Source organism: Homo sapiens, chromosome 22 (genome assembly GCF_000001405.40).
Source record: "Homo sapiens chromosome 22, GRCh38.p14 Primary Assembly".
NCBI lineage: Eukaryota > Metazoa > Chordata > Mammalia > Primates > Hominidae > Homo > Homo sapiens.
The window spans coordinates 16,809,031-16,836,942 of NC_000022.11; the positions used below are offsets into that span (position 1 = coordinate 16,809,031).

The 27,912-nt window shown below is 36.0% G+C and overlaps 1 protein-coding gene and 1 pseudogene across 6 annotated transcripts in view; one reads left to right on the plus strand and one right to left on the minus strand.

Moving 5' to 3' along the window:
• The window catches only part of XKR3 (XK related 3), a 41,932-nt gene extending 25,551 nt beyond the window's left edge, over positions 1–16,381 (minus strand). For 2 of the 5 annotated variants that reach the window (NM_175878.5, NM_001318251.3), the window contains exon 1: positions 12,577–12,669. The gene's annotated coding sequence lies outside the window, so the exon portion shown is untranslated. Of the gene's footprint in view, positions 1–638; positions 1,016–12,576; positions 12,670–14,805; positions 14,886–16,260 lie in introns of those variants that run through there. The other 3 variants (NM_001386957.1, NM_001386956.1, NM_001386955.1) reach the window with 3 other exon arrangements.
• A 2,062-nt stretch (positions 16,382–18,443) lies between these two features.
• On the plus strand, positions 18,444–20,305 carry HSFY1P1 (HSFY1 pseudogene 1; annotated as a pseudogene). Its single transcript, NR_003607.1, has 2 exons — positions 18,444–19,030; positions 19,512–20,305. The product of NR_003607.1 is annotated as an HSFY1 pseudogene 1 (transcript).
• The last annotated feature ends 7,607 nt before the right edge of the window (positions 20,306–27,912 follow it).

Consider the following 27,912-nt stretch of genomic DNA (forward strand, 5'->3'; position numbering starts at 1 on the left):
GGAAAAGTAAAAGTAGTAGTTAAAAAAAGTGGGAGGGAAGAAGCAGGAAGTTATCTATTTTATTTGACAAGTTGTTCATTTCTTGAACTGTCTTTGCATTGCTTTGTCATAATTTATCATAAATATTCCTCAAATTCTTTAAATTTTATGCTGCAGAATATTAAATTCCTCAACTTCTTTTGTTTTTCTGATCTAAATCACACCTTTATCTATATGCACTTATTTATTCAAAGACAAAACCTTCATCCCATTTTAAAATATGTCCTCCTGGACCCAATCCATCAATATGATTGATCTTTTTCTCTTTTGTGTAATTTATTTTATTCTCCTCTTCGGTGCTCTGATTTCCTTATCACACGTGTATTAAAAAAACCATATTTTACAATTCAAAACAAAAACTGTCTCTCATGGTGCTGAACTTTTTCTCTGCTTTTAATTGCCACAGAGAATTTCTATTAGTTATTTCCTTTCCATCACTTCTTATTATTTCTCAGGTTTTATCCCACAACAGTGAAGTCACAGTGGTTTCTCAAAAGTCATCAGTGACACCCTAATTGCTAAATGTAATATGTTACCTTAAACTTCAGTTGAATATTTTTGCCATTGATAATATGCTCTCATTTGAACATTCCACTTACCTTAACCAGTCAGGCTTTCATCCCCAACGGTCCACCAAAAGTACTATATTTAACTTTCTTTTTGCCAAATATAATAGTTTTTTTTTAAATTCCTATCATTGTTTATTGAGACACGGTCTGGTTCTGTTGTCCAGGCTGGAGTGTAGTGGTGCGATCAAGGACTCACTGCAGCCTCAACCTCCCAAGCTCAAGCGATCTTTCCACTTCCACCTTCCGGGTGATTGTGACTGCAGGCCACCAGGCCTAGCTAACTTTGGTATTTTTGTAGAGACAGGGTCTCTTCATATTGCCCAGGCTGGTCTCGAGCTCCTGGGCTCAAGCCTTCTGCCCGCCTCAGGCTCCCAAACTGCTGGCATTGGAGGTGCAAGCCACCACACCTGGCCAATTATAAAAGTTATTTTTTAGTCTCCCTCTTACTTGAATTATTCCTGATGCATTTACTCTCAATCTCCTGGTTATCTTTTCCTGTACAATGGATTTCTGAATGGTACTGAGTCCCATATTTATATCTCCAGCCAGTCTCTTACCAATGCCCCAAACTTATAGGAGTCTGTTGTACATATTCGAGTTTAATAGGCAATTTGAACTCAAGGCTACAGACTGAATTCTGATCCACTTTCCAAACAACTTTCCCCATATGTTTCCCATTTCACCTGATAATAATTACGTCCTGCTGCTAAGGCACATAAGGTCATCCTTAATGCTTTTCTTTTCATTGCATCATTTCTATTAATCATCAAATTCTGCATGTTTTACTTTTAAGACACATGCAGAATCTAGCCACTTTTCCCTATTCCTCCTGCTATCACCCAGATGCAGGCCATCCACATTTCTCAGGCGATTAACTCAGCCTCTTTAGTGATCCCCTACCTTCCTCGATTACCTCTTATATTATGTGAGTTATATCTCAGATACTGTAAAAGTAACCATTTTAAAGTACACATTTAGTGATTTTTAGGGTATTCCCAAAGTTACAGGAAAGATCAACACTATTTATATATAGAATGTTGCCATTACCTTAAAAAGAAACTACCCATTAGCATTCAATCCCAGCCTCCCCCTTTCCTAAGCTAAAACCATGGTCCTTATAATGTAACAAAAACACATAAGTAATTTTATTCTTATTCACTTTTACATATCTTCTACCATTCTTTTTCTTGGTCAGGGCCCCAATACATACTACAACCTCAGAGGTTCTGCTCTCCTTGCCATTTCAAAAAATTTGCTCAAATCTCCTTTGAGTTTATATTATGCACCTGCATATACATGAACCCACGAGCCTTATGCTTCTTACTTAAAAGTCACTAGTTGTTGTCACTGCTTCCTACTAAAGCCAAAATGTAAGTTCTATCAGTACATGGATATTTGTCTTTTCTCAGGTGAACTGTGGAAAACAATACGTGATATATTTTCAGTTCACTTTGATCTTTTTTTTCTTTTTCACTTTCTTCTTTTTTTTTTTTTTTTTAATAGGAAGTAACAAAGTCTTGCTCTGTTGCTCAGGCAGAAGTGGCAGGATCTCGGCTCACCACACAACCTCTGCCTCTTGGGTTCAGGCGATTTCCTGCCTCAGCCTCTCAGTAGCTGGGACCACAGGTGCCCACCACCCGACCTGACTACTTTTTTTTGGTAATTTTAGTAGAGATGGGGTTTTGCCATGTTGGCCAGGCTGGTCTCGAACTCCTGAGCTCAGGTGGTCCACCCACCTTGGCCCCACCAAAGTGTTTGGATTCACCCTGAGTCCACCGTGGCTGGCCTGATCTTTATTCTAAAAGGTTCACAGACTTAATTTCTGTAACAGGCTTACTATTCGGTCTTCTTATTAAACTAAGGAGACTAAAGCAAGAAAAGATTAAGTAATTTGACTTGATTCTTTATCCTGGTGGTTTTGTTATCAAAATAGAAAACTCTGTTTGCTTATATGTATGTATAACATGAACTAAAATGTAAGTTATATTCTTCACGTGTACGCTGAACAATTTATAATTTAATGTTGGTACTGCCAACTCCTTTCTAGATTCTGAACTTCACTTTCTTATTAAAAAAATGATTTAATATGGCCGGGCACGGTGGCTCACGCCTGAAATCCCAACACTTTAGGAGGCTGAGGCAGCAGGATCACGAGGTCAGGAGATGGAGACCATCCTGGCTAACATGGTGAAACCCTGTTTCTACTAAAAATACAAAAAAATTATCCCAGCATGGTGGCGGGCACCTGTAGTTCCAACTACTCAGGAGGCTGAGGCAGGAGAATGGTGTGAACCCGGGAGGCAGAGCTGGCAGTGAGCTGAGATCACACCACTGCACTCCAGCCTGGGCGACAGAGCAAGACTCTGTCTCAAAAAACAAAACAAACAAAAAACAACAAACAAAGACAAAACAAAAAAAGGTTTAATATTTAGGGGCATATTTACAGGCACTTGTTATAAGTGAAAAATTATCCAACTACATGGCCACTTCCTCCAGTTTTTCCTACATAGACTGGAGAAAGCATGCTTTCATACTCAATGCCAAATTTGAGTTTAGCTCTCACTGTTTTCCAGTTGTTCACTTCCCTGCCCCTTTATGTCACTGGGGCACATTCAGTACTTTTGTTTGTGTGTTTAACCCGCATATACATTCCTGTTAAGGCTGGTAGTGCACACAACTTTAACCAAGATTTAAACACTTTTTGGATTGAGAGATAACTCACATAGTATAACATTAGCCATTTTAAAGTACACACTTGCTGGGCGCGGTGGCTCACGTCTGTAGTCCCAGCACTTTGGGAGGCTGAGGCAGGCAGATCACGAGGTCTGCAGTTTGAGACCAGCCTGACCAACATGGTGAAACCCCGTCTGTACTAAAAATAAAAAAATTAGCTGGGCATGGTAATGTGCACCTGTAATCCCAGCTACTCAGGAGGCTGAGATAGGAGAATCACTTGAACCCTAAAGGCAGAGGTTGCAGTGAGCTGAGATTGCACCACTGCACTCCAGGCAGGGAGACAGAGTGTGAATCCGTCTAAAAAATAATAATAATAAAATAAAGTACACACTCGGTGATTTTCAAGGTATTCACAAAGTTGTACAAACATCACCACTACTTACATACAGAAGATTTTCATCACCTTAATGAGAAACTCTGTACCATTAGCATTCTATACCAGCTTCCCCCTTTCCTAGAGCCCTTGGTATCCAATAAGCCATTTTCTGTCTCTGTGGATTTGCCTATTACAGACACTTAATATAAACAGACTCATACAATATGAGGCTGTTCGTGACTTACAGCCTTTTGTTGTAGATTATCTTCATGGAGCTGTGTATAACAATCACTGTAGAAGATAAAGATAATGGGCCGGGCGCGGTGGCTCACGCCTGTAATCCCAGCACTTTGGGAGGCCGAGGCGGGTGGATCACGAGGTCAGGAGATAGAGATCATCCTGGTTAACACGGTGAAACCCCGTCTCTACTAAAAATACAAAAAATTAGCCTGGCGTGGTGGCAGGTGCCTGTAGTCCCAGCTACTCGGGAGGCTGAGGCAGGAGTATGGCGTGAACCTGGGAGACGGAGCTTGCAGTGAGCCAAGATTGCACCACTGCACTCCAGCCTGGGCGGCAGAGGAAGACTCTGGCTCAAAAAAAACAAAAAACAAAAAACAAACAAACAAAAAAAAACAAGAAGAAGATAAAGATAATGCCTCTTTCTAAGGCATAAGTTAAGCAGGTTTGCTGTTACCTCCCTTTAAAAGGCTGGGGGTTCCTAAACTCGAGATTTCTATAACTGGCTTGCCATTCTGTCCGATTTTTAAGCCGAGCATACTGAGGCAAGAAAGTTTAAGTAATTTGTCCAAATTCTTTATCTTGGTGGTTTTATTATAGAATATGTGGATTTGCACCAATTATATCAGATATATGGTGAGTGAATGTATGATGCAAACCCACTGCAAGGGTAACATCAACCTAGGCCCACCTCCACATCTGGAAACATTTATATTGTGAATAATGCTACTAGTAACATTCATATACAAATGTTCACAATTATATCTTAATTTTAGGAACATATGGTGAATGTATGTCCAATCTTTTGAGAAACTACCAGACTGTTTTCTAAAGAAGCAACCTCACTTTATGTTCCCACTAGCAATTGGATGAGGTTCCCAATTTTTCCATATATTCACCAACATCTGTTATTTCTTTCTGATTACACTCCATTCTATTCAATATATCTCACTGTGGTTTGAGATTCATTGTATCTCATTGTGGTTTGATTTTCATTTTTCTGATAGCTAATTATCATTTCCTATGCTTAGCTCTAGATATGATGTGACAATATTTTTCTCCCATAGTGTCATTTTACTTCATAATCTCTTTGAAGCACAGAAGTTTAATTTCAATGAAGTTCAATTTAGTTGATGTTTATTATTTGTGTTTTTGGTTACATATTGAAGAAACGTTTGCGTAATCTAAGGTCACAAAGATTAACGTCTACCTTTTTCTAGAGTTTTATTTTATTGTGTTCAGCTCCTGAATTTAGGTTTTTGATACATTTTGAGATAACTGTGGTAAAAGACAGGGTTCCAACTTCACATGAATATCTAGTTGTCTCAGCTCCATTTCTTGAGATTTTGACTATGTTTCCTCATTTACTTATCTTGGTACCTTTGTTGGAAATCAATTGCACACAGGTGGGAAGGCTTCTTTCTGAACTCTCAATTCTATTTCATTGGTGTATTGTGTCAGTACCACACTATCTTTACTGCAGCTTTGTGGTAAATTTTGAATGGAAAGTGTATTGTTTTGGCTATTCTGCATCCTATGAAAGTCCATAAGAATAGTAGAATTGCCATAGCTATTTTTATAAAGAAGCCACCTGGGATTTGGTAGAGACTTAATTGAAACTGTAGGTCAATTTTGCGGTGTTGTCACTTAATGTTATCTTCCAATCCATGAATATTGGATATCTTTCCATTTATTTCAATTTTCTTTAATGTCTTTCAACAATATTTTAGAGTTATTAGATTATAATGTTTGCACATTTGTTAAATTCATTCCTAAGTATTTTATTCTCTTATCTTTGTGAAATGTTTTTCTTAATCTCATTTTATTTTTGGATTGCTCTTTGTTACTGTGTAGGTATATAATTGACTTTTGTATACTGATCTTGTTATCTGCAATTCTGCTGGACTTAATTATTAGTTCTGATTTATCAGAATTTTTTGTATACAAGATCATGTCATCTGCAAACAGAGGTAGATTCACTTTTTTCCTTTCCAATTTAGATGGCTTTTTTTTTTTAATTTTCTTGCCCAATTGCCCCTCATCAAAATCAAACTCCCAGTAAAATGTCAAAGAGAAGTGGCAGCAGTGGACATCCTAGCCTTATTCTGGATCATGAGGAAAATGCATTCAGGTTTTTGCATTAAGTTTCATGTTAGATTTGGGGTTTGTGTAGATGCCTTTTTTCAGGCTGAGGTATTTTCTTTCTATTCCCACCTAGTTGAGTGCTTTTATCGTAGAAAGGTGTTGGATTTTATAAAATATTTTACCACATCTGTTGAGATTGTCATATGGTTTGGGTTCCTTAATTGTATCAGCATTGCATAGCTGATTCTTGAATATTAAGCTAACCTTGCATTCCTGAGATAAATCCTACTTGGTTATGAAATGCACCTCTTCTCATATATTGCTGGATTTGAATTGCTAGTATTTCCTTGGGAATTTTTGTCTGTATTCATGAAATATATTTGTCTGTAACATTCTTTTCTTCTACAATCTTTCTCTAGTTTTGTTATCAGAGTACTACTTGCCTCATAGAATGAGCTGGAAAGTCTGTTAATTTTATATTGGTTACCTTTAACCATAAAATCAGATCTATATGAAATTATCTATCTAAAACTTGTTGAGATCACATTTTTGAACCAAGTAAATCATCATTAAAAAAGAATGTTTTCTTGGTAAGTAGAAGGTATATAGTGGTTAAGACACATATTTACTTTTTAAGAGTGAAGGTAGCAACATTTATATACATATAAAAGGATTGTTAATTGTTAATTGCAAAGTATTCCTATTAACAACTAAATGTCTGTATACTCATCAGTCTAGATGATTGATATATTAATCACCTCTCACTACAATTGTGATTTGTCAATATAAATAAATATCCATCAAATTTAATTCTGGCGTATATTGTGACAATGCTACTGAGGCATTTAAATTTGTGACTGTTATATATCTTTAAAATTTTTTCACATTTTGATATTTCATATTTTGCCTGTCACCTCTTCTGTTATCTATTATTGTCCCTCCTTATTGCTTGCATTTTTTCTAAAATTCTCTTCTGTCTTATACAATTGTAGTGGCCTATCTTTTTAAATAAATATTTGTTAATTTTCTCTACACCTTTGTTTTAATATTTCAGTGTGATTATTCCCAAGTAAAAGCATATTTTCTCAATCCAGTGTTAGAGTATTTAATATTTTAACACATAATTTGGAAGCATTTACATCTAATATGATTACTCTCTTATCTACATAATATCTGATTAGATATCTTTTTATTTACCCAAGATTTTCTGTCTCTGCCTTTGCCGCCTCTCTTTCAGCCTGTTGTTCAATCCCTCTCCCTACCCTGAACCTTTTTTTCTAATTGTATTATTTTTCTTGCAGAAATTTATTTTTTCCTGCTTTTGACATTAATTACCATATTTTTACACTTTCTGTAGTTATTCATTTTTTTGAAAAAATATTCATTTTTCCTGGTTTTGACATTAACTACCATATTTCTACACTTTCTGTAGCTAATCAAAAGGGCCCAGTTAGTTGATATTTTTTTCCTAAAAATGTAAAATGTATTTCTAGCCCCCACAAAAAAAAACCCACACAAATTCCTACGTACCATTTTAATTTTGATATTTGTTTTTGTCCCTGCTAAAAAATAAAAATAATAGGTTTTATACTTCTTTTCCTTTGGCTTTCACTAAGTCTTTAATATTTGCTTAATCTTTGTGAGTTGAAAAATGTATTTTTATTAAATGACAACTTATGTGGAATAATATCCAGTGTAGAATTTATTTTCATATTCTGCCTTTTGGCCCTTCTATACATGTTTTCCTTCTGGTGTATCTTGTAATTTAATATGAAAGTTGTCTACTCTGAGCTCAATTTTTATTAACTTATCTTTCATGTATGGTCATCAGATATAACATGGAATTCCCAGTTGCATTTTCATTTTAAATAAACAATAAATAGCATTTTAGTATAATTATATTCTCAATATTGCAAGGAAGAGACTCATACCAAAAATAAATTATATGTTGTTTGTCAGCAAACTATCAAATTTCAAAATGAAATGTGACATTTACATTTATGTATTTTCCCCCACAACTGGCAAACTTACTTTCAGATCCACTTAGAAAATTACTTATTCTTACTATATTTGTGCTGAATCTACTATACAAGAAACAAAGAAACAAAAATTTGTTTGACTTTTTACTATATGGTTCATTTTTCAATGAGATATAATTCTCTATTTAAAAAATTTATTTTTGTCCTCCTACTCACCTGTTTTGCCTTTAGATTCCATTTATTCATCTCAGAGAACACCAAAACCTACTTATTATGAAGAATCTTTAAATTCAACTTTTTATCCTTGAGTGTTCCCCTTAGTGTGTCTTTTTTGGCTGTTTCTTAGGGCATCGAACGTCCACCAATCAGTTTCTGCTTTTGAGGTAGTTATATCTTGTACGTAATATAAAAAATCTGACCTCAGTCTTGAATATCACATAGGATGGAGGTTGAGATATGAACTTTCCCCTCATGGCTTTGAATAAAAACCTCATTCTGTGTTAGATCCTAGTATCTGTGGTCAATGGCTTTCTATATTGGCTCAAATATTCCAGCTAAATGTCTAAACAACACTTTCTTTAACAAATTATTTAGGCAGGAAGCCAAACCCCACTGGACTCAGAAATGGTCTCTTCCCTGGGAATATATCCACATTTACTCCTCAGTTGACTATTTCAATGAACTATCCAGTTTATCCCAAATTAGTGATATTGGAGTTCAAATCTCACAGATGTTTTCTTTCTTGACAGCCATTTTTATTTTTTTAAAAAGAATATTATATTACACTTTTAATCTTTGGTTTTCATAATATTTGGTTTTGCAACTGCTCACATTGCCCCAGAGAACTAGAAACAAGTGCTTGATTTCAATTGAATTATTTGTTACTTAACAAATAAAACCTATGAAAAGCCATTATTACTATATCCCTTCTGCAGTTGAAAAAGAACATATTTTTGATAATATTTTCTGGAAGCACTGCCAACTTTATTTTTTTTCCAAAGTGTATGGCAGGTATTTCATCTGTTCTTCATTGACCTATATTATTTATATGCTATAAATCATTGGCTTTTTCACATATATTATAAAACTTCTTCGAGATTAATTTTGGTGAAAAGTTTATTCTATAAAATCACTTTATTATAGGTAAATCATATCATTTCATTCTCTGCAATCATACCTCCCCATGTTTTGCTTTATGAGATTTGGTTTGCTTTGTACTTTAAAGCCTTCCTCAAACTTTGACTTCCTAGGACTTCCAGGTACAATGCAACACCCCAGTGTTTCCTCTGAACAACTAAAACACCACGGACATAATGACAAGAAACAAAGACAGACTCTGAAAGGTCTTGTCTAGGGATTTCAGGACTTGAAGAGTGATACTATGGTAAAGATACTGGGTTTTCTTATTGCCTTCCATGTATCCCACATAATGGACTATAGAAGTTTCCAATTCTGAATCTCCAATAGGCACAGACAAAAAGAGCTTCAAGAAAATCCTGTTCTCTCGCAGCCCAAGGACCAGGAGAGGATAACCTAACTACAAACAACTACACAAAACCGTTCTATGGAGAATAACCAAACTACTCCAGACGAACACCACAGAAAAAAAACTACTACTTCAGTTTCTCTGCAGCCATGTACAGAGACAAGCTTCTCCCAGGTCAGTGATGCTCTGATTCCCTCTAAAGTCAGAGGAGGCAGCTAATCTTCTATTTCCCAACCAGCTAAAACAGAGGACAGCATTCCAATTCCAATTCCCTAACCAGTGTCAGCAGAGTCCAATAGCAAGCTGAGCACCCAGGTCCACCCAACAACAATAGTGGTTAAAGAGCCAGATCTAAGTAGAGATGATTGCACTGTGCTTCTTGACTGCTCTTTCCACTACCCTACCCTATTCTGTCAGTGGGCTCCACTGGGGAGTTAAGCATCTACCACCACCCAACCCCCTATCCTCTGAACAGTTGAAATGAATCTAAACTAGTCAGCAATCTGCTATTTCCCTATGCTACAGGTCAGGAGGACCCCAAATTTGCAACAGAATCATCCACAACTGCTCCAAAAAATGTGATATGCTCTGATATACATTAAAAAAAAACAGGTATGGGCTGGCTCTGTATGCTGAAACATATAAAACACTGGTGAAAGAAATCAAAGTAGTAATAAAGAAGGATACATTGTGTTAATGTATTGGAAGACTCAATATGTTGTGTTAATCTTCCCCAGCTTGATCTATATATTTGATGCAATTCCTATCAAAATCTCAAAAAGGATTTTTTGAGATAAAGCAAACTTACATCCTTGGATAGCTAAGACAATTTTGAAAAAGAAGTATATAATGGGAGGAATCTGTCAACAATGTTTTAAAGACTTATTACACAGCCAAAGTAATCATGACAGTGTGGTATTTGCCTAGGGATAGATTCATAAAAAATGTAGAAAAGGAAGCCCAGAAATAGAGTCACACTGATTTGAATATGATGCAATATCTCACAAAGCTGGCAAACACAAATCAGTGGAGGAAAAATAACCTTTTAACAAATTGTGCTAGGGCAAGTGGACATCCATAGGTTAAGGAAAAATAGCCTTAACATAAAACTCACCCTACAGAAATTAATGCAAAATGGTTCATGAACTTCAATGCAATCTGAAATTCTAACACTTTTTAGGAAACTTTAAAAAATAATAAAGAAAATTCAACCCTCTTAGGCGTGGCAAAGAGTTATTGGATTTGATACCAAAAATACAAGCCATGAAAAAAATCTGATAAATTAGATCAAATCAAAACTTAAAACTTCTGCTCTGTGAAATAACTTATGAAGAGACTAGAAAGCCAATGTGCAGATGGAAGAAAGCATATATGAAATGTGTACCCAATTACTATACCTAGGTAAAAATTAATTAGCTAATGAACAAAGGGTACAAAGACATTTCATTAAGAAGGATATAAGCATGGGAAATAAATGCACAAAAAGTCACTGAACATTACTAGCTACATCACTGCATCTATTAAAACACCTACAATTTTAACAAGTAATGACAACACCAAATGCTGGTGAAGATGTAGAAATAACAAGCCACTCATGCGTTGTTTGGTGGCATGTAAAATGGTAGGGTCAGTCCAAAACTGTTTGCCATGCAGCTGTCAGACAACCTTGCAACTCAGTGCAGTTATCCTACAGAAAATAAAACTTACGCAAAAAAACTGTACATGAAGGTATAAGGCAACTCAACTAAGAACATCCCTTGTGTTCTTCAATTGTGAATGTTCAAACAAGCTGTGGTACATTTATACCATGGGTTGCTACTCAGCAATAAAAATGAAATAGACTATTAGCAGGTATAATTGGAAGAATCCCAGGGAGTTAAACTGAGTGAGGAGTCTTGGCAGGGAAGTGTTCCTCCTGTTTCTGCCACACTATGCAACACAGGGAGATGGAAACAGATCTACTGACAAGTAAAATGACATGAATGTTCATACTCCTTTTGCTGGATTCCTTCATATTTAACATGGACCTGGGTGCTGCAGCTTCTCAACTGGTCTCTGGAGCTCTCACAAAGGTATTGTGGTCCAAATATTGTTATTAATTCACTGACTCTGTGAAGGCATGAAGGCCTGACACTTCCTAGTACGCCATCTTGTTGACATACATAGTCTCCATCTCCAGTACACAATACAGAGACCATTCTTTCATTCAATCACTTACTATGCTTACTTAACAAAAAAACAGTTGCATAATATCTAAGAAATGACAGAGTAATCAGGAAATAATTGTGATGACAGGTAAATAATATATTCATTTTTTAAAAAAGATTTGATGTTACCCCTGAAATGTCATGCACAGTTATAGATGAGAAAGCAAACCTAACAGATGCTAGAAATAGGATGACTGTTTCACGATCTCTTGTAAGTTATAACTCCTTCATGAATACCCCTCTTTTGTGATAGAATACCCTTTTTCCCATTTGAAAACTAAAACACAAACTATTATCATCCATAAAACAATTATGACTAAGACAAACAAGATATATGACTGACATAGATTTCAAGTAAATGGAAATATTATACAAAGATGTTAGAGTTAAGTCTTCAACTCTGATGTTATCTGATGCTCAAATTTAAGACTAATAATATTAAGCAATATCTTCATGTTTAAGAGTCACAAATCAGACTTTCAACCCACAATTTAAAAATAAAATGTAATTTTCTATGATAGCATTGACCTTAACTGAAAAAATGTATATATCAAAGCTGTTAAGCAACTTTACTTGCTTTCCTTCTAGAAAGCTCTATTATGACAGTACAGCCAAACTTAAGAAAAATATCAATAGAAAGAATACTTAAAATAATTCTAACAGATTATCTTAAGAGTACTATAGAAGATAAACAAAGCATCTCAAAAATCAGGAGCCTAATTATAAGGAGTATTTTTATTGGTTACTGTGTTTCAAGTACCTGGAAACAGCTGCAACTTTGTACACAAAGTGAATTTGCTTTCCAGGTATATTGGCAATAAACAGGTACAACTGATGAGAATTTTTTTTTTCATTTGTTGAACAGTAATACTCAGCAAGATTTCGAAGGTAAAAAAATAAACACAGCAGAATTTTTTTTTACCTTATTTTTTCTCGCTTCCTTGATGCTAATACAAGAGACAGTGGGAGGGAGTTTCACTGATACGTTCTGCATCAGAATTTAGAATTTCAAAAGATTTTGTTACAAGAATAATCAGAAGAATTAGATTCTAACTCTGTAGGCAGCAGGTATCTAGGAAACCTCGTGCTTCAATTTCATATAAATTGAATTTACACTACATCTTTAAATTTTTTGGACTTCAATATGATTATTTTATGTGAATTTCAGTTCAAACAAACTATGCTATAGCTGTTACATGGAGTTACAGTTTAGTTTTATAACATACTCGTTCTGGGCATTTATTTTTATTATTTTTTGCCACCTAATAAGAAATTTTAAAATCACTATTAAAAACTTTAATAAATACATGACATTCTTACTGTATCTACAAATTAATTTATCAAATGGCTGTGATAGGTGCCACAAAGATATAATAGATCTTATAAAATGACAAAAACTGAAAATGGCAATTTTGTATGTTAATTTTAGACTTTTTTCTTTAATCAAATCTTTGAAAAATGCAATTGACTGTTGAAATAATAAAATATTGTGGTTATATAATTTTAAAAATGCATGTAGCACAGAGGCTGAGAGGGGATAATGGTACATGTTATTTTAGTGTTTTAACATTGTCCATAGAGAAGTGTAATACCTCTTCAAGGTAGGTTGTGGTAAATTTGAGATGTACACTACAAACCTCAAAGCAAGAACTAAAGTAACAGTAACAGCTAAGAAACCAACAAAGGCCATAATAGGAAATTAAAAAAATAAATAAATAATAGAAAAGAAGACAGATAAGAGAAAATGGAACAAGTAACACATGGAGAAAACAGAAAGCTACATCAATCAGCACATTAACTGTAAATGGCTTATATACCACAACTAAAAGGTAAAGCCTATAAGAGAAATAAAAATAGTAAAATCCAGTTATATGTTGTCTCCTGGAAACCCATACTTGACATAAAGACACAATTACTACGGAAGAGATGGAATAAAGCTGTGCACTACTAACCCTAGTGATAAGACTGCTGGAATGGCTATATTAATATCAGACAAAGTAGAGCAAAAAAAATGGAAAATATCAACTGATGCTCAAGTTGTTCTGGTTAGCAGTACAAACTCTGGAACCAGACTTTCTGAGTTACAATACTGTCACTTCTATTTTTTTCTTTTAACTATAAAATAAATGTCCACATTGCTAACAAGCATATTAACTAGCTTATTATGCTTGCTTCCTTTGCTTTTGGTTGTGGTGGGTATTTATTTGTTTATTTTTTAAGACATGATCTGCCCTTGTCACCCAGGTTGGAGTGCAGTGGCGTGACCTAGACTCACTGAAGCCTCAACCTCCAGGACTCAAATGATCCTCCTGCCTTAGCCTCCCAAGTAGCTGGGACCACAGGTGCATGCCACCATGTACACTAATTTTTGTGTTTTTTGAGGAGATGGGGTTTGACCATCTTCCTGGTCTCAAACTCATGAGCTAAAGTGATCCACCTGCCTCAGCCTTCCAGTGTTGGGATTACAAGCATGAGCTACCACACTGCCAGAATCCTGTCATTTCCTTGAATTGCAAAATTAAAACCTCATAAGCTACAGTTTCCACATCTGTACAATGATAACATCATTAGAATCTTCCTGGGGAGATAGCAGTGTAGAGAAAATAATACATCGGCAGCAGGAAGAAGAGTTCGTGGTACACAGTGAAGTTTGGAAAGGTGTTCCTATTGACATCATTATAATCATGACCACCATCATCATTTCTTAGAAACACAGAATTGACAGGACTCACTGATTAAGAGTATTTGACAGTGAAATATGAGAGAAGAGATTGCCTTGGTCAATTCTTGAGTATCCATCTGGTAGAGCTTGGAAAAGTGGTGGAAGCAGAATTTTTGGGAAAAACATTTAAAATAAACTTAAACACCTTACTTTTGATCTGCGTGATGTACAGAACTGGTGATGAACAGGGCAACCTTGTCACTTTAAAATATATCTGATTGCCAATTTGCAGCATCACAAGACTAGTAAACATTTACTGTGAAACATTCAGAAAATACAAATTACCAAAAGAATAGAGTTTACCTATTGCTTAGTTTTCTCCAGCAATGGAGAGATCAATAATAATAAATCTGACACCAATTCAAAATATGAAACTTTAGGGTACTCAAGTACTAAAAGGTTTTTTTTTTTTAATGTAAACAAACTCACAGGTAACAGTGTCCAAAGTAGAACATTAGAAATGAGAGATTCTTGATGTAACAACAGGTCCAGGTGATGATAATTCAAGGCTGCTGAAACAAGTGAATGAAATCTTGAAGGGATCTTAATGATGAGAACTAATTCTTGCTTGTTGGAGTGATGAGACAAATGGTCCAAAAATTAAAAAACAAAACAAAACAACAACAACAACAAAATAATTTGTTGCTTGCAAATAGGCCCTAGAAGCAATATGAAACAGTCTTCAAATGAATAGATGAGAAAAATCGCATCTGACCTAATTAATTCAATGTCACAAAAAGAGAGACAATGTGTTATTTAAAGGGATGAGACAGAAAAAACACTCTTGTAAATAAAGAGAGAAGAGTACAATGAAGTACCCATTTCCACCTACGAGGAACGGGCATGTAAGAAAATACGGGAATCATGTGCAGATGATATAATTACTTATCTAGAGGCACCATAAAAATGTTTTTCCCCAAATAATGTCCATTAGGGATAAAATTTTAAGAAAGAAAGGATGTTACTTTTAAAGACAATTGTTAAATACCTAGTAAATAGAGTAAGTGAGTAAGAAAAGCAGAAAGAAAATAAGTTGCAGCTACCAGATACCCACAAAAAGAAAGAAAAGGGAAAAAGAAGGAATGGAGGGAGAGAGCACAAATGGAAAGAAAAAGGGTGGGAAGGAGGAGGGAGAGTAGAGAGAGAAATTACAGAAGTAGGCGAGGGGTATAAAGGAAAGCATGGAAAGACAACTGCAGAGACATCAGAGTTTCTGGGCCTCAGGATAGGGGAAAAATACATCCAACATTATAAGAAATATATCCCACTCTCTCCCCAGCAATCCATACATCGAATATGATATTAATGCAGATTGCACCTTTCTGGCTGCCCCAACCACTTCCTTCTCCTTTGGACTCACAGAAGGACCTCTATAATTTATTTCTGGAAAACACTTATGAAAATATGCACATATGAAAAGGGCCACAGAGTTTAGAAATGGGTCTTCCAGAGTCTAAAATTCAAGGTAGAAAGTGAAAGTGAAGTCACTGAACAATGGAATTTAGGCATGTGTTTGTGATTAAGTGAACTTGTTTCTTGTACTCACATAGCCAGTGCATCACTGCATCTGAATAACAAAAAATATGGTAGATTTCTGCCCCTTTGAGATTTCACTTAAATACGAAGCACTTTCTCCTTCTGATGTTTAAAAACATGCTGAAATTTGTAATATATTAGTAACAACCACTGTCCCACCCAAATGCTAAGCAGCTGCTTCTCTTCTCTGAAAATCAGAATCAAGAGAGGGAGTTTCTAGGCTCAAGACTCGGGAAAAGCCACCCCTGATATCCAGAGATTTATGTTAAGATCCCCAGCTGAGACAGGCAGAGGTCAAGGTAGGCTGAAGAAGCTGATCTGAGATGGTCGAGGGCTGCTCCTACTTACCTTGCCTATTTGCCACCCTCACAGTTTTGAAACTCGTTCAAAAAGTAAATGCTTTTGTTCACCTCTTTAACAGCACCATTTCTGGTCTCGTTTTCAACACTACGTCCTTTGCTTTGCAGGTAAAATTGCTTATTTTCTTGCCTTTTTATGACTAAAGTAGGCTTGCAGTTTGGAGTCAGGTGACTGCACTAGCTGAGTCATCTTCCCTTGAAAACACCAAGGCATTCTTCCTCCCTACAGAGTCACACATCTTAGTTCCCCAAAACGCTCAGCCACAATTTGACTTCGATTGTCCTACATTTAAGGTGATATTTTTCTGATTCTCCCATTAACTCCCTCTTCTCTTCGCACCCATGGCCCATCTTTTGCTGCTGTCTAGTAGCCATTCATCCCCTCCCATCACAAAAGAAGTCTGTACTTCCTTCAGACAGAGCAACAAGAAAATTCCCCAGAAAGCAAACAATTAAACAAATTTTAATTTTGCCTTTTTTAAATGAAAATTCTGTCAAAATTGATGAACCACATCTGGTAGGAGCACCTGTTTTATTTTCACAAAGAGTTTTCTGATCTGGACATTTTTGTTACTTACTGCTAATATGGAAAATTTTGAACTAAACAAAATACACCCCCAAAACTTAAACTATGTTAAACCAAGACAAGCTTCTAACAATGACACCTCTTTCCAGTATGAGAGAACTGCCTCCTACAGTATAAGAAATATCAAAATCATTATTTTTTTATTCCACACATATTCAACACTTAAAGCCAAGGCATTAGAATTTTAATATACCACCTCTCAAGCATGAACATATAAAAATTCTTACTGTAAATGGGGCATGATTATTTTTCAAAGAGAAGAAATATTTTATTCAATTCTAAGATTAATTCACAAATTTGACTCCTGTTTTATAATGATAACTTTACGTTGCAGGACACAGAGATTATTCCTTAAGAAATATTTTTTAAATAGATATTTGGCTCTTGGAACCAAATAATAAAATTTTCTGCTTAGACATACATACAAATTTACTTTACTTAAAACACTTTCTTGTTATTATTACATTTTTAAATCTCCCACTCTTTGGGATCTCCTTATAAGTAGGTCACTTGCTTTTAAAATCTTACATAATTAACATGTCAGATATTTACAGACATACCAAATGAAAGTATTATTTATTCTATGATATGAATAAAAAATGTTTTGAATAGATACATACATGAATAACTTTTTATTCTGAAATCTAATCAGTTTTATTCATATTTGATTTTATTTTAATTTTTTAAGGTATGTTTCACATAATACAAAATTACATTATTCAAAATTATATTATTAAAACATTTCTATCATCAAACAGGAAACCCCATTATCTACTTAACAGTTCTTTCTATTCCCCAGCCCCTGACAACCATTAACCTACCTTTTGTCTATATGGCCATGTCTTTTTACCATATATGTTTTACACTGCATCAGTTTTCAATCCAACATGCCAAGCTGAGAGAGTTTTTAAAATATTTATTTTTATTTTTTTGCACCGTCCAATTACCAGGCCCTATGCTCCTCGCACCAATCTAGTAAGACTGTGTGTGTCAAGGAGAAAATTATGTTTATTTCAGGGATTGAGGATATTAATTAATTTATTTATTTATTTATTTATTTATTTATTTATTATTTTCTTAAGACAGAGTCTTGCTCTGTTGCCCAGGCTGGAGTGCAGTGGCACAATCTCAGCTCACTGCAGCTTCCGCCTCCTGGGTTCAAACGATTCTTCTGCCTCAGCCTCCCGAGACCTGGGACTACAGGCACATGGACCACACCTGGCTAATTTTTGTATTTTTAGTAGAGACAGGGTGTCACCATGGTGGTCAGGCTGGTCTCGAACTCATGACCTCATGATCCGCCTGTCCCGGCCTCCCAAAGCGCTGGGATTGCAGGCATGAGCCACCATGCCTGGCCCTCCTTATTAATTTAAAAGATTCTGCAGGCATGAAACTTTTGCAGAATAAACTGTGTAAGTAATCATTCTATATTTTATTTTTACCAGATACATTTCTGAGACTGGAAAGTAAACAGTCTTGGCCAAATTTTTATGTTTGTTGCTAGGTGACCAAAGTCCTCTTGTGATGCCATTGCTACTCAGGTTGGAAACCACTGTGGTGATCTCAATTACTTTACCTGAGTAGACTACTGAAGCAGCATTTGAAGCTGCAGTCTTGAAACACATGCAGGCTGGAAAAGTCGCTAAAGAATTACTTATTTGAGATGGCACATGTTTCTGCAGAAACTCAAGATGTTTCTCCTAAAGATGAATCAACTGGTTCAAAAGCCTCCTCTGGGTCTCCATTGTGTGAACACATAATCCCTGGGGATTCAGACTTAAGGTCAATGACTGAATCAATGATTTTCAGGTTTTGCCACAAGGATCCTTGATAAAAAGGCCACATTATACTTTATGTCTCTGAGCCAGATAAAGATAATGATTTTCCTTCTCTGACCTTTCCCAGTAAACTTTGGAAAATAGCTGAAAGTGACCAATTCAAGTCTAATTCATAGGATAAGAATGAAACTTGCATAGTGACTAATGAAGAACTCTTCAAGAAAGAAAATTTGGAAATAAAGGCTCCTTACAGAATATTTCAAACTGACAGTATGAAAATCTTAATTTGACAGCTCAACCTTTATGGATTTAGTAAAATTCAACAGAATTTTCACAGATCTGCTTTTCTAGCCAACTTTCTGGCAGAAGAAAAAGAAATTTCTGTTTTAAGCAAGGTATTCAAAATATTTCAGTTACCACTTTGAGTATATATGTAATTTCATTTTATATATCAGTAACTATGTTAATACATGCAGTAAGATCAGATTTTAAAAATTATATCAAATATTAAGGTAAAAATTACTTAATTTTTTTGAAATTATTGAGTGCAGGTTGAGCATTAAACTTTCAGGTTTTAAGAAATGTTGCTAACAACATTCAGTCTTACCAGTGAACTCCAAATAAAGATACCAAAGCCACTTAGTGAAATGTTACTATTAAATGTATAACATGTTTTCACCAGAGGGCTTCAAAACTTGAGTGTTTTTTTTTCTCAACAAGCATGTTCTTAAAAATAGTAAACAATGTTCATTCATTATTTGATGATATTAACTTTGTGTGATAAAACAGAAATCTGAGATTGTATGGGTTATGTTTGTTATTGTTACTTGCCTCTTGGTTTAAAATGGCACTGAATTACCTTCTCCTTGGTTTTAGTTAAAGTTGTATTATCATCCGAATTTCAAACGTGGCTGTCCCCAACTTTTAATAAGAACGAAAAGAAGAATTAAGATTAAAAACACTTCTCTTGTATCTACTTCACTGAATATTTCAAGAAACACTTTAGAGCAGGGGCTAACACAGATAAACATAATTCTGTCTTAGCTGCTGAAACTAGTGAAGAAAGTTCATTTTCAACATCTACAAATTTAAATATGACTCTAACAAGGAAATCTTCTGTCAGCCAGGGCATTGCTGGTTCACCTGACCCAATTAGAAGTGGTTTCCCTCCTCTTCCATTTCAACCTCAGTTGGACAATCAGAACAAATTACAACAAATCAACATGCTATTTTAAATCAATTGACAAATATTCATATGCACTCTCATAGCACCGACATGTAAGCAAATGGCCACGTTGTGAATTTTGTTACAACCACAGCTTCTCAATACTACATCATATCTCCCTCCTTTGGGGCTGATAGTGAAACCACCTACTTTTTCCCACCAGATATCCTGAGGTATTAGCCAATGAGGCTCCTCATTCTAACCTGCTACCAGCAGGCAACCTGTGGTTGTAAATGACTGCGACAGCTGATACATCAGTTGCCTTTCGTTACAGGCCAGCTCTTCAACCATCTTTACTGGAAAAATATCACCCTAGTTACAACTGATCTTCCACCAAAAGAGTACCAGATTATGCATGACAACAGAGACTGAAATTTATGTTGACAAGAACATTAAAAATTCCTGCAATAATCTTACTGAACAATAAAATTACATGTTGACCTTTATGGTTGCTTTTCCTTTATTTCTAAAAATACAGTTAGGAGTAAAATGGGGCTTTGTTTTAGTGGCAGGCTACTGTACCGCATTTAAAAAAAAATATGTGCTTTTTTATCATTTGATGGGAAATTTGACATGGCCCTTTGTAAGCTAGTTTATTTAATTATCTAAAGAGGAAGAAATAATAGAGTGTTTTAGTCCATTTGCTGCTGCGACAACACAATACCACTGACTGGGTAATTTGTAAGGTGACTTATTTTGCTCATTATTCTGAAGGCTGGAAAGTCCAAGGGGCTGCATCTGGTGAGATCTTCTTTCTATGTTGCAACATGGCAGGAGGCCATCCTACGGTAAAGGACATGTGATAAACAGAAAATCAGGGCCAAACTCATCCTTGGTTCCAAAGCCCACTCACACAATAACTAGCCTGTTCGCCAGATAATGCTATCAATCCCGCCATGAGGGTGCACACTCACGATTTTATGGTTTCTAAGTCCACAGTCAACGTTGGCTAATTCACATACATATGTTTATATATCAAAACCATGGCAGCAGGCAAGGGAAAAAGAAGGAATTGGAGTTAGAAAAGAGTAATAACTGACTTCTCAAGTAGTCTGGCATAAATCAAATGAGGGCCTAAATTACAATGGCACAAAAAGAATAGATATGCACACACACACGCACACACAGAAAATCTAGAGAAACATTAACACACACTATATACTTCAGTATTTTCTCACTTTTTCTCAGTTATTTTAAACTTGGATTTTAGTTGGCAAAGATTTTCTTCATTACAATTCATACCTAGCGAGCTCAGTAACCATGATCACAATTATTTGTGTCCTCACTTGCGCAATAAACTTCACATATTTTACTCATGGATTGTATCACTGTAGGCACATGGTAGAATTTTATAGCTGGCATTATCAATAGACCTTTTTGATCTTCCATCAAAGCTTGTGGCTTTAATTACTTCCTGTAAGAGTCCACCTTTCATGTTTTCTAATGCACATTTTCCTTCTTTTCTTTTGAGACAGAGTCTTGCTGTGTTGCCCAGGTTGGAGTGCAGTGGCATAATCTCAGCTCACTGCATCCTCAACCTCTGAGTTCAAGCAATTCTGTGCCTTAACCTCCTGAGTAGGTAGGATTAGATGTGCACCCACACCGTGCAAAATTTTGTATGTTTAGTAGAGATGGGGTTTCACCATGTTAGCCAGGCTGGTCTTGAACTCCTCACCTCAGGTGACCCACCCACCTCAGCCTCCAAAAGTGCTGGGATTACAGGCTTGAGCCATGACACCCGGCCTCTAAATGCACATTTTCATCACACTGGTTTCATGCTCCATCCAAAATCTGATTTAAATTCTTTTGTTGGCATTTAATACTTTCTAGATTCTGAGCCTATATCCCCAGCATAACTGAACAAATCCCTTCAAGACCTGATATTTGTCTGCCTTGCAGCTTCATGTGTTTCTGTTTCATCACCGTCCTATTTGAAGCAACATTCAGGCAACTCCACTTTCAGCCATGCCTTTTATCATCTGGTAACTTTGCCCCCATTTCTTTCCTGGAGATAAAAACTCTCTCCCTCTTTGCCTACTTAAGACTCCTATAGCACAGACATCACTTCTTCCAGGAGGTGCTTCTTATCTATCAGATTAGTTTTCTCGTCTGTCTTGGACACTCAGTACTGATGTAACACAGTACCTGATGTATGTATGTATGTGTATTAGTCAATGATGACTGTGGACTTAAAACCATAAAATCTATCTTTATTGTCAAAAACAAACATTCCTGGTGTTGCGGCATTACACTTTACTCTTCGTTCTTCACCAGAACTTTTCTTTAGAGGTTAGGTCACAGTAGTGTTCATTAGAGAGGCAATAATTTTGACTTACTAAAACTACTATCACTGTTTATCACTTCAACTATCACACTTTCTTTTTAGGTCTAGTTCTGATTTTCCCCTGCTTCTTCTAAAATTTCTTTTTCATCTTCTGCTTTGACTCGCAGTCTTTGCCTGAAATAACTAGGTGGGTGCTTACTACTCCTTCCTTTATTTGCAGCAGAGATTCCCAGCTGTTGTGCCGAAATGGATTACACTGAGAATCCCAGCTGCGCAGCTTTTCAGAAGCAGCATTCATGGTGGATTTGGTGTACTATACAACTTCTGGTGTCACAAGCTAAGGCCTGACATGATTTATCACTCAGTTTTCTGGGAAAGCTGGGGTTGGAATGGGGTTGGAATTGGGTACGAATTTGGACAGCCAGATTCCTCAGGCTGGAAACCTACTGCCGCCATCCTACCATACACATATATTTTCAAGTTATGCCTAAGTAGAAAAAGTTCAGAATCAATTATGTACACGGGGAATACTGATTCTTTATCCTGGCATACCATGACACAAGACAATGGTCATTTCACCTATGTCCACAGGGTATTAAGATATATACCACATTTTAGTTCTCAAAACTGTATTTTCAGAGGGTACTGTGATATACACGGTTAAATGCTGAACATGAAGAATGGTAAAAAGAAAAAAAACTGGGACAAACACGGTGGCTCACAACCGTAATCCCAGCACTTTATGAGGCCGAGGCGGGTAGATCGCCTGAGGTCAGGAGTTTGAGACCAGCCATGTCAACATGGTGAAACCCCATCTCTTCTAAAAATACAAAAATTAGCCAAGCATAATGGTGGGCACCTTTAATTCAAGCTAGTCAGGAGACTGAAGCCAGAGAATGGCTTGAACCCAGGAGGCAGAGGTTGCAGTAAGCCAAGACAGAAATTTCCCCTAAAAGCCCAATTTTTATAGCCAAAGGCTAGGAAAGGAACATTTTACTAAGACAAAGATAATTTTTATAATAACCATCCTACTTTAGCCAAACTACACAGCACAAAACAAAGGAAAATAAAAAACCTAGCCAGGACAACAAAGTCCAAGTCAGAACATCCATTGTACCAGGCAGTAATGAAACATCCCAATCCCCTGCTGGAGTGGAATTAGAGAAGGTAGAGTAAAGAGCTAGAGTTTTCAACCCTGCCATGTAGTAACAAGACACCCTTCCCCTCCTAGACAGGGAGGTACAAGTAAGGCCTAGGGTGAAGCTAGAATCTGGGTATTTATTTGTCAGTAATGAGGAGCCCTGCCTTTTGTGTCAAAGAGAAAAAGGGAAATTGGAATTGTGCCCCTACTTGACAAGCATACCCTTTCCTCTGTTAGGTTGGTTTCAGACAAAGCCAGCTACACTGAAAAATAGAATGTCATAATAAGATCCAGAGTCTCCTAGTAGTCTCCCAAATGTTTAACTTGGAAATAAAAATCTCTCATCTTGGCAAGAAAGAGGAAGCCCTGCACATCAATGAAATAACATGATAAATATAAACACAGAAATTTCAGTGCTATTGTTACAGGATCCCTGAGATGTTGATTTTTCTGGCAGGAAACCTCTGTGGCCATTGCGCCTTTGCCTAAGTTCTTGTCCTGCATGCAGGAAGAATGAGGTACACAGACAAGCAGAGGGTGAAGAAGAAGAGTTCTATTTAGTGTTAAAAGAGCTCAGAGGAGTGGGTAGCTCGTCTCTATAGGCAGCTCCTCCCATGGAGCATTCAGTTCTCAGCAGAGAGGAGGCCCTGGAGAGGGTGTCTTCTCCCTGCAGGCAAGTTCTTTAAATGTCTCTGCAGGTCTCTGAAGCTCTCTGCCACAGCTGCTGCTCTCAGCAGAGAAGGTACTGCTCTCTGCGGCTGGTCCTCCCATTGTCCCCAGCTATCAGCAGGAAAAGTACTCTTTTCTGTAGCAGATTGGCTTTTTAGTCTCTTCCTAAGTTCTTTCACAAAGCGAAGTTTTTAATTTAGATTTGATCCAGTTTACCAGTTTTCCTTTTATGTCTTATACCTTTGGTATAAAATGTAATAACTCTTTGCTACACCTGAGAGGCTTGAATTTTCTTTATGATTTTTTTCTAAAATGTTTCATAAAAAGTGTTATAATTTTATATTACATTCAAGTTCATAAGCATTTTGAGTTAATTTCTGTAGTGTGAGGTTTATGTTAAGGCTTTTTTTCTTTAGCCTATTGATGTTCACTTGCCCTAGCACCATTTGTTGAAAGGCTATTTTTCCTCCACTGATTTATGTTTGCCAGCTTTGTGATGTATCAATTGGTAATAGCCATACCAGTGTGGCTCTATTTCTAGGCCTTCCCTTTGGATCCATTTTTATATGAATCTATCCCTATGCCAATACCACACTGTCATGATTACTTTAGCTGTGTGTAAGTCCTTGAAATACTGATGGATTCCTCCCACTCTATATTTCTTTTTCAAAATTGTCTTAGCTATCCAAGGATGTAAGTTTGCTTTGTCTGCAAAAATTCTTGCTGAGATTTTTATAGGAATTGCATCAAATATATAGACCAAGCTAGGGAAAACTAACACAACATATTCAGTCTTCCCATCCATGAACATAGTGTATCTCCCTTTATTTCTGCTTTGATTTCTTTCACCAGTGTTTTATATGTTTCAGCATACAGATCCCATATCTGTTTTGTTTTGTTTTAATGTACAACAAAGCATTTCATGTTCTTTGGAGCAGTTGTAGATGGTACTGTTGCTAAATTGGGGTACTGCTGACCTGTGGCATGGGGAAATAGCAGATTGCTGACTAGTTTAGGTTCACTTCAACTGTTCAGTGCCTAGGAGGTTGGGTGGTGGTACATGCTTAACTCCCCCACTGGAGCCTGGTGACCGGATAACACAAGATAGTGGGGAGGGCAGGTAAGAAGCACAGTGCAATGAACCCTACTTAGATCTGGCTCTTTAAAAACTGTTGTCGTTGGGTTGACCTGGATGCTCAGCTTGCTACTGGACTCTGCTGACACTGGTTAGGGAACTGGACTGTTGCCCTCTGTTCATGCCAAGTGGGTAATAAAAGATTAGATGCCTACTCTGCCTTTAGAGGGAATCAGAGCATCACTGATCTGGGAGAAGCTTGTCTCTCTACATGGCTCCACAGAAACCGCTGTAGTAGTTTTTTCTGTGGTGTTTGTCTGGAATAGCTTGGTTGTCTGGAATAGCTTGGTTATTCCCGTAGAAGGGTTTTGAGTTGTTGTGTGTGGTTAGGTCATCCTCTCCTGTTCCTTTGGCTGGGAGAGAACAGGATTTCCTTGAAGTCTGTGCCTAATGGAGATTCTGTATTGGAAGCTTCTATAGTCCATCACCTGGGATACACTGAAGGCAATAAGAAAATCCAGCAAATTTACCATAATATCACTGTTCAATTCCTGAAGACCCTAGACAAGCTGTCTTCCTCTTTGTACCTTTCAGAGTCTGTCTTTGTTTCTTGTTGTTATGTCTGTGGTGTTTTAGCTGTTACAAGGAAACACTGGGGTACTGCATTGTAAGTGGAAGTCCTAGGAAGGCGTTTAAAGTACCATGCAAACCAAATCCCATAAAGCAAAATGTGGGAAGATATGATTACAGAGAATAAAATGATATATCTACAGTGAAGTGATTTTATAAAATAAAGTCTTCACTAAAATTAAAAAATCTCAAAGAAGTCTTTATAATATATGTGAAAAAGCCAATGATTTTTAGCACATAAATAATATAGGTCAGTGAAGACCCGATGAAATACCTGCCATACACTTGGGAGAAAAAGAGTGTCAGCACTGCTTCCAGAAAATATAACCAAAAATGTGTTCTTTTCAACTGCAGTAGAGATATAGTAATAACACCTTTCTCACAGGTTTTATTTGTTAAGTAACACATGATTTAATAGAAACCAAGCACTCATTTCTAGGTCTCTGTTGCAAAGTGAACAATTGCAAAAGCAACTCTTATGAAAGCCAGAGATTACGAAAGAAAATTCTTTTTTAAAAAATCAAACTGGGTATCAAGAAAGAAAACAGCTCTGAGGTTTGGACTCCAATACTATTAATTTGAGATTAAACTTGGCAGTTCATTGAAATAGTTAATTGAGAAGTAAATTTGGATATATTCCCAAGAAAGAGACCATTTCTGTGTCCAATGGGGCTGGGCTCCCTGCCTAAATAATTGGTGAAAGAAAGTGTTGTTCAGACATTTAGCTGAAATATTTGTGTCAATTGGAAAGTCATTGCCCATGGATACTAGGATCTAACACAGAAAGAAGTTTTCATTCAAAGCCATGAGAAGAAAGATTCATATCACAACCTCTGACCTGTGTGATATTCAAGACTGAGGTTAGATTTTTCATATTACCTGTATTATATAACTACCTGAAAAGCAGAAACTGGTATAACATACTAGATTGAACAATTAAGTTCTTAAAAACCTGGAAAGATTAACATAAAACTGCCCCCACCCAAGAATAAATTTACATTTAAGAACTTAAGATTGCTTTACCACCTCAAAGGCAACATTACTAATTCATGGATGGACATTCCATGCCCTAAGAGATAGCCAAGGAAGACACACTTAAGGGTCACACTCAAGGATAAAAAGTGGAGTCAAAAAAAGTCATCATAATTAGTAGTTTAGGGGTTCTCTGAGACCAATAAATGGGATCTAAAGGCAAAACAGGTGGGTAGGAGGACAAAAATACATTTTTTAAATAGACAATTATACGTCATTGAAAAATGAACCATATACTAAAGGAACTCAATTTTTGCTTGTTTGTTTCTTATATAGTAGATTCAGCACAAATATAGAAAGAACGAGTAATTTCCTAAGTAGATCTGAAAGTAAGTTTGCCAGGTGTAGGGGGAAAATTCAAGAATTTAAATATCACATTTCAATTTGAAATTTGATAATTTGTTGACAAAAAACAAAGAATTTATTTTGAGTATAAACCTGTCCCATGCAATATTTAGAATAGTGCTAAATTACTAGAATATTGAAAATTATATTAAAGGCTATTTGTTGCTTATTTAAAATGATAATGTCACTGGTAATCCTGTATTATATCTGGTGACCATACATAAAAGAGAAGTTAGGAAAGATGAACTCGACACTTTTATATATTCATAAGAAACAATAGAAGACAAAAATGTATAAAAAGGGTAACATGCAAATTATGAAAATAATCTCTACCCAGGATATTATTCCACATAAATTATCATTTAATAACATTTAATAACATTTTTCAACTCACGAAGATTATGCCAATATTAAAGACTTATGAAAAGGCCATGGAAAACAAGTATAAAAGTTTTTTTTTTTAGCAAACAGAAAAATAAATCTCAAAATGAAAGAGGTATGCAAGAATTTTTTCTAAGAGGGCTAGAAATATGTTTTAGCTTGTTTAAAAAAAGTCAACTAACTGGGTCCTTCTGATTAACTACAGAAAGTAGAGAAATATGGTGATTAATGTCAAAAGCAGGAAAAGAAATAAATATGAGTAAGAAAAGTAAATCAATAAAATTAGAAAAACAGGTGGCAGGTGGGGAGACAGAGAGAAAAACAAAAGCAGATAGACAGGAGGCAAAGGCAGAAACAAAAAAATCTAGGGTAAATAAAAAACTGTCTAAGCAGGTATAAGTTATGTAGATAAAAGAGTAACCATATTAGATGTAAACTGTTTAAACTTATGTTTAAACATTAGATTGGTAAAAATTTTCTTCTGCCTAGGAATAA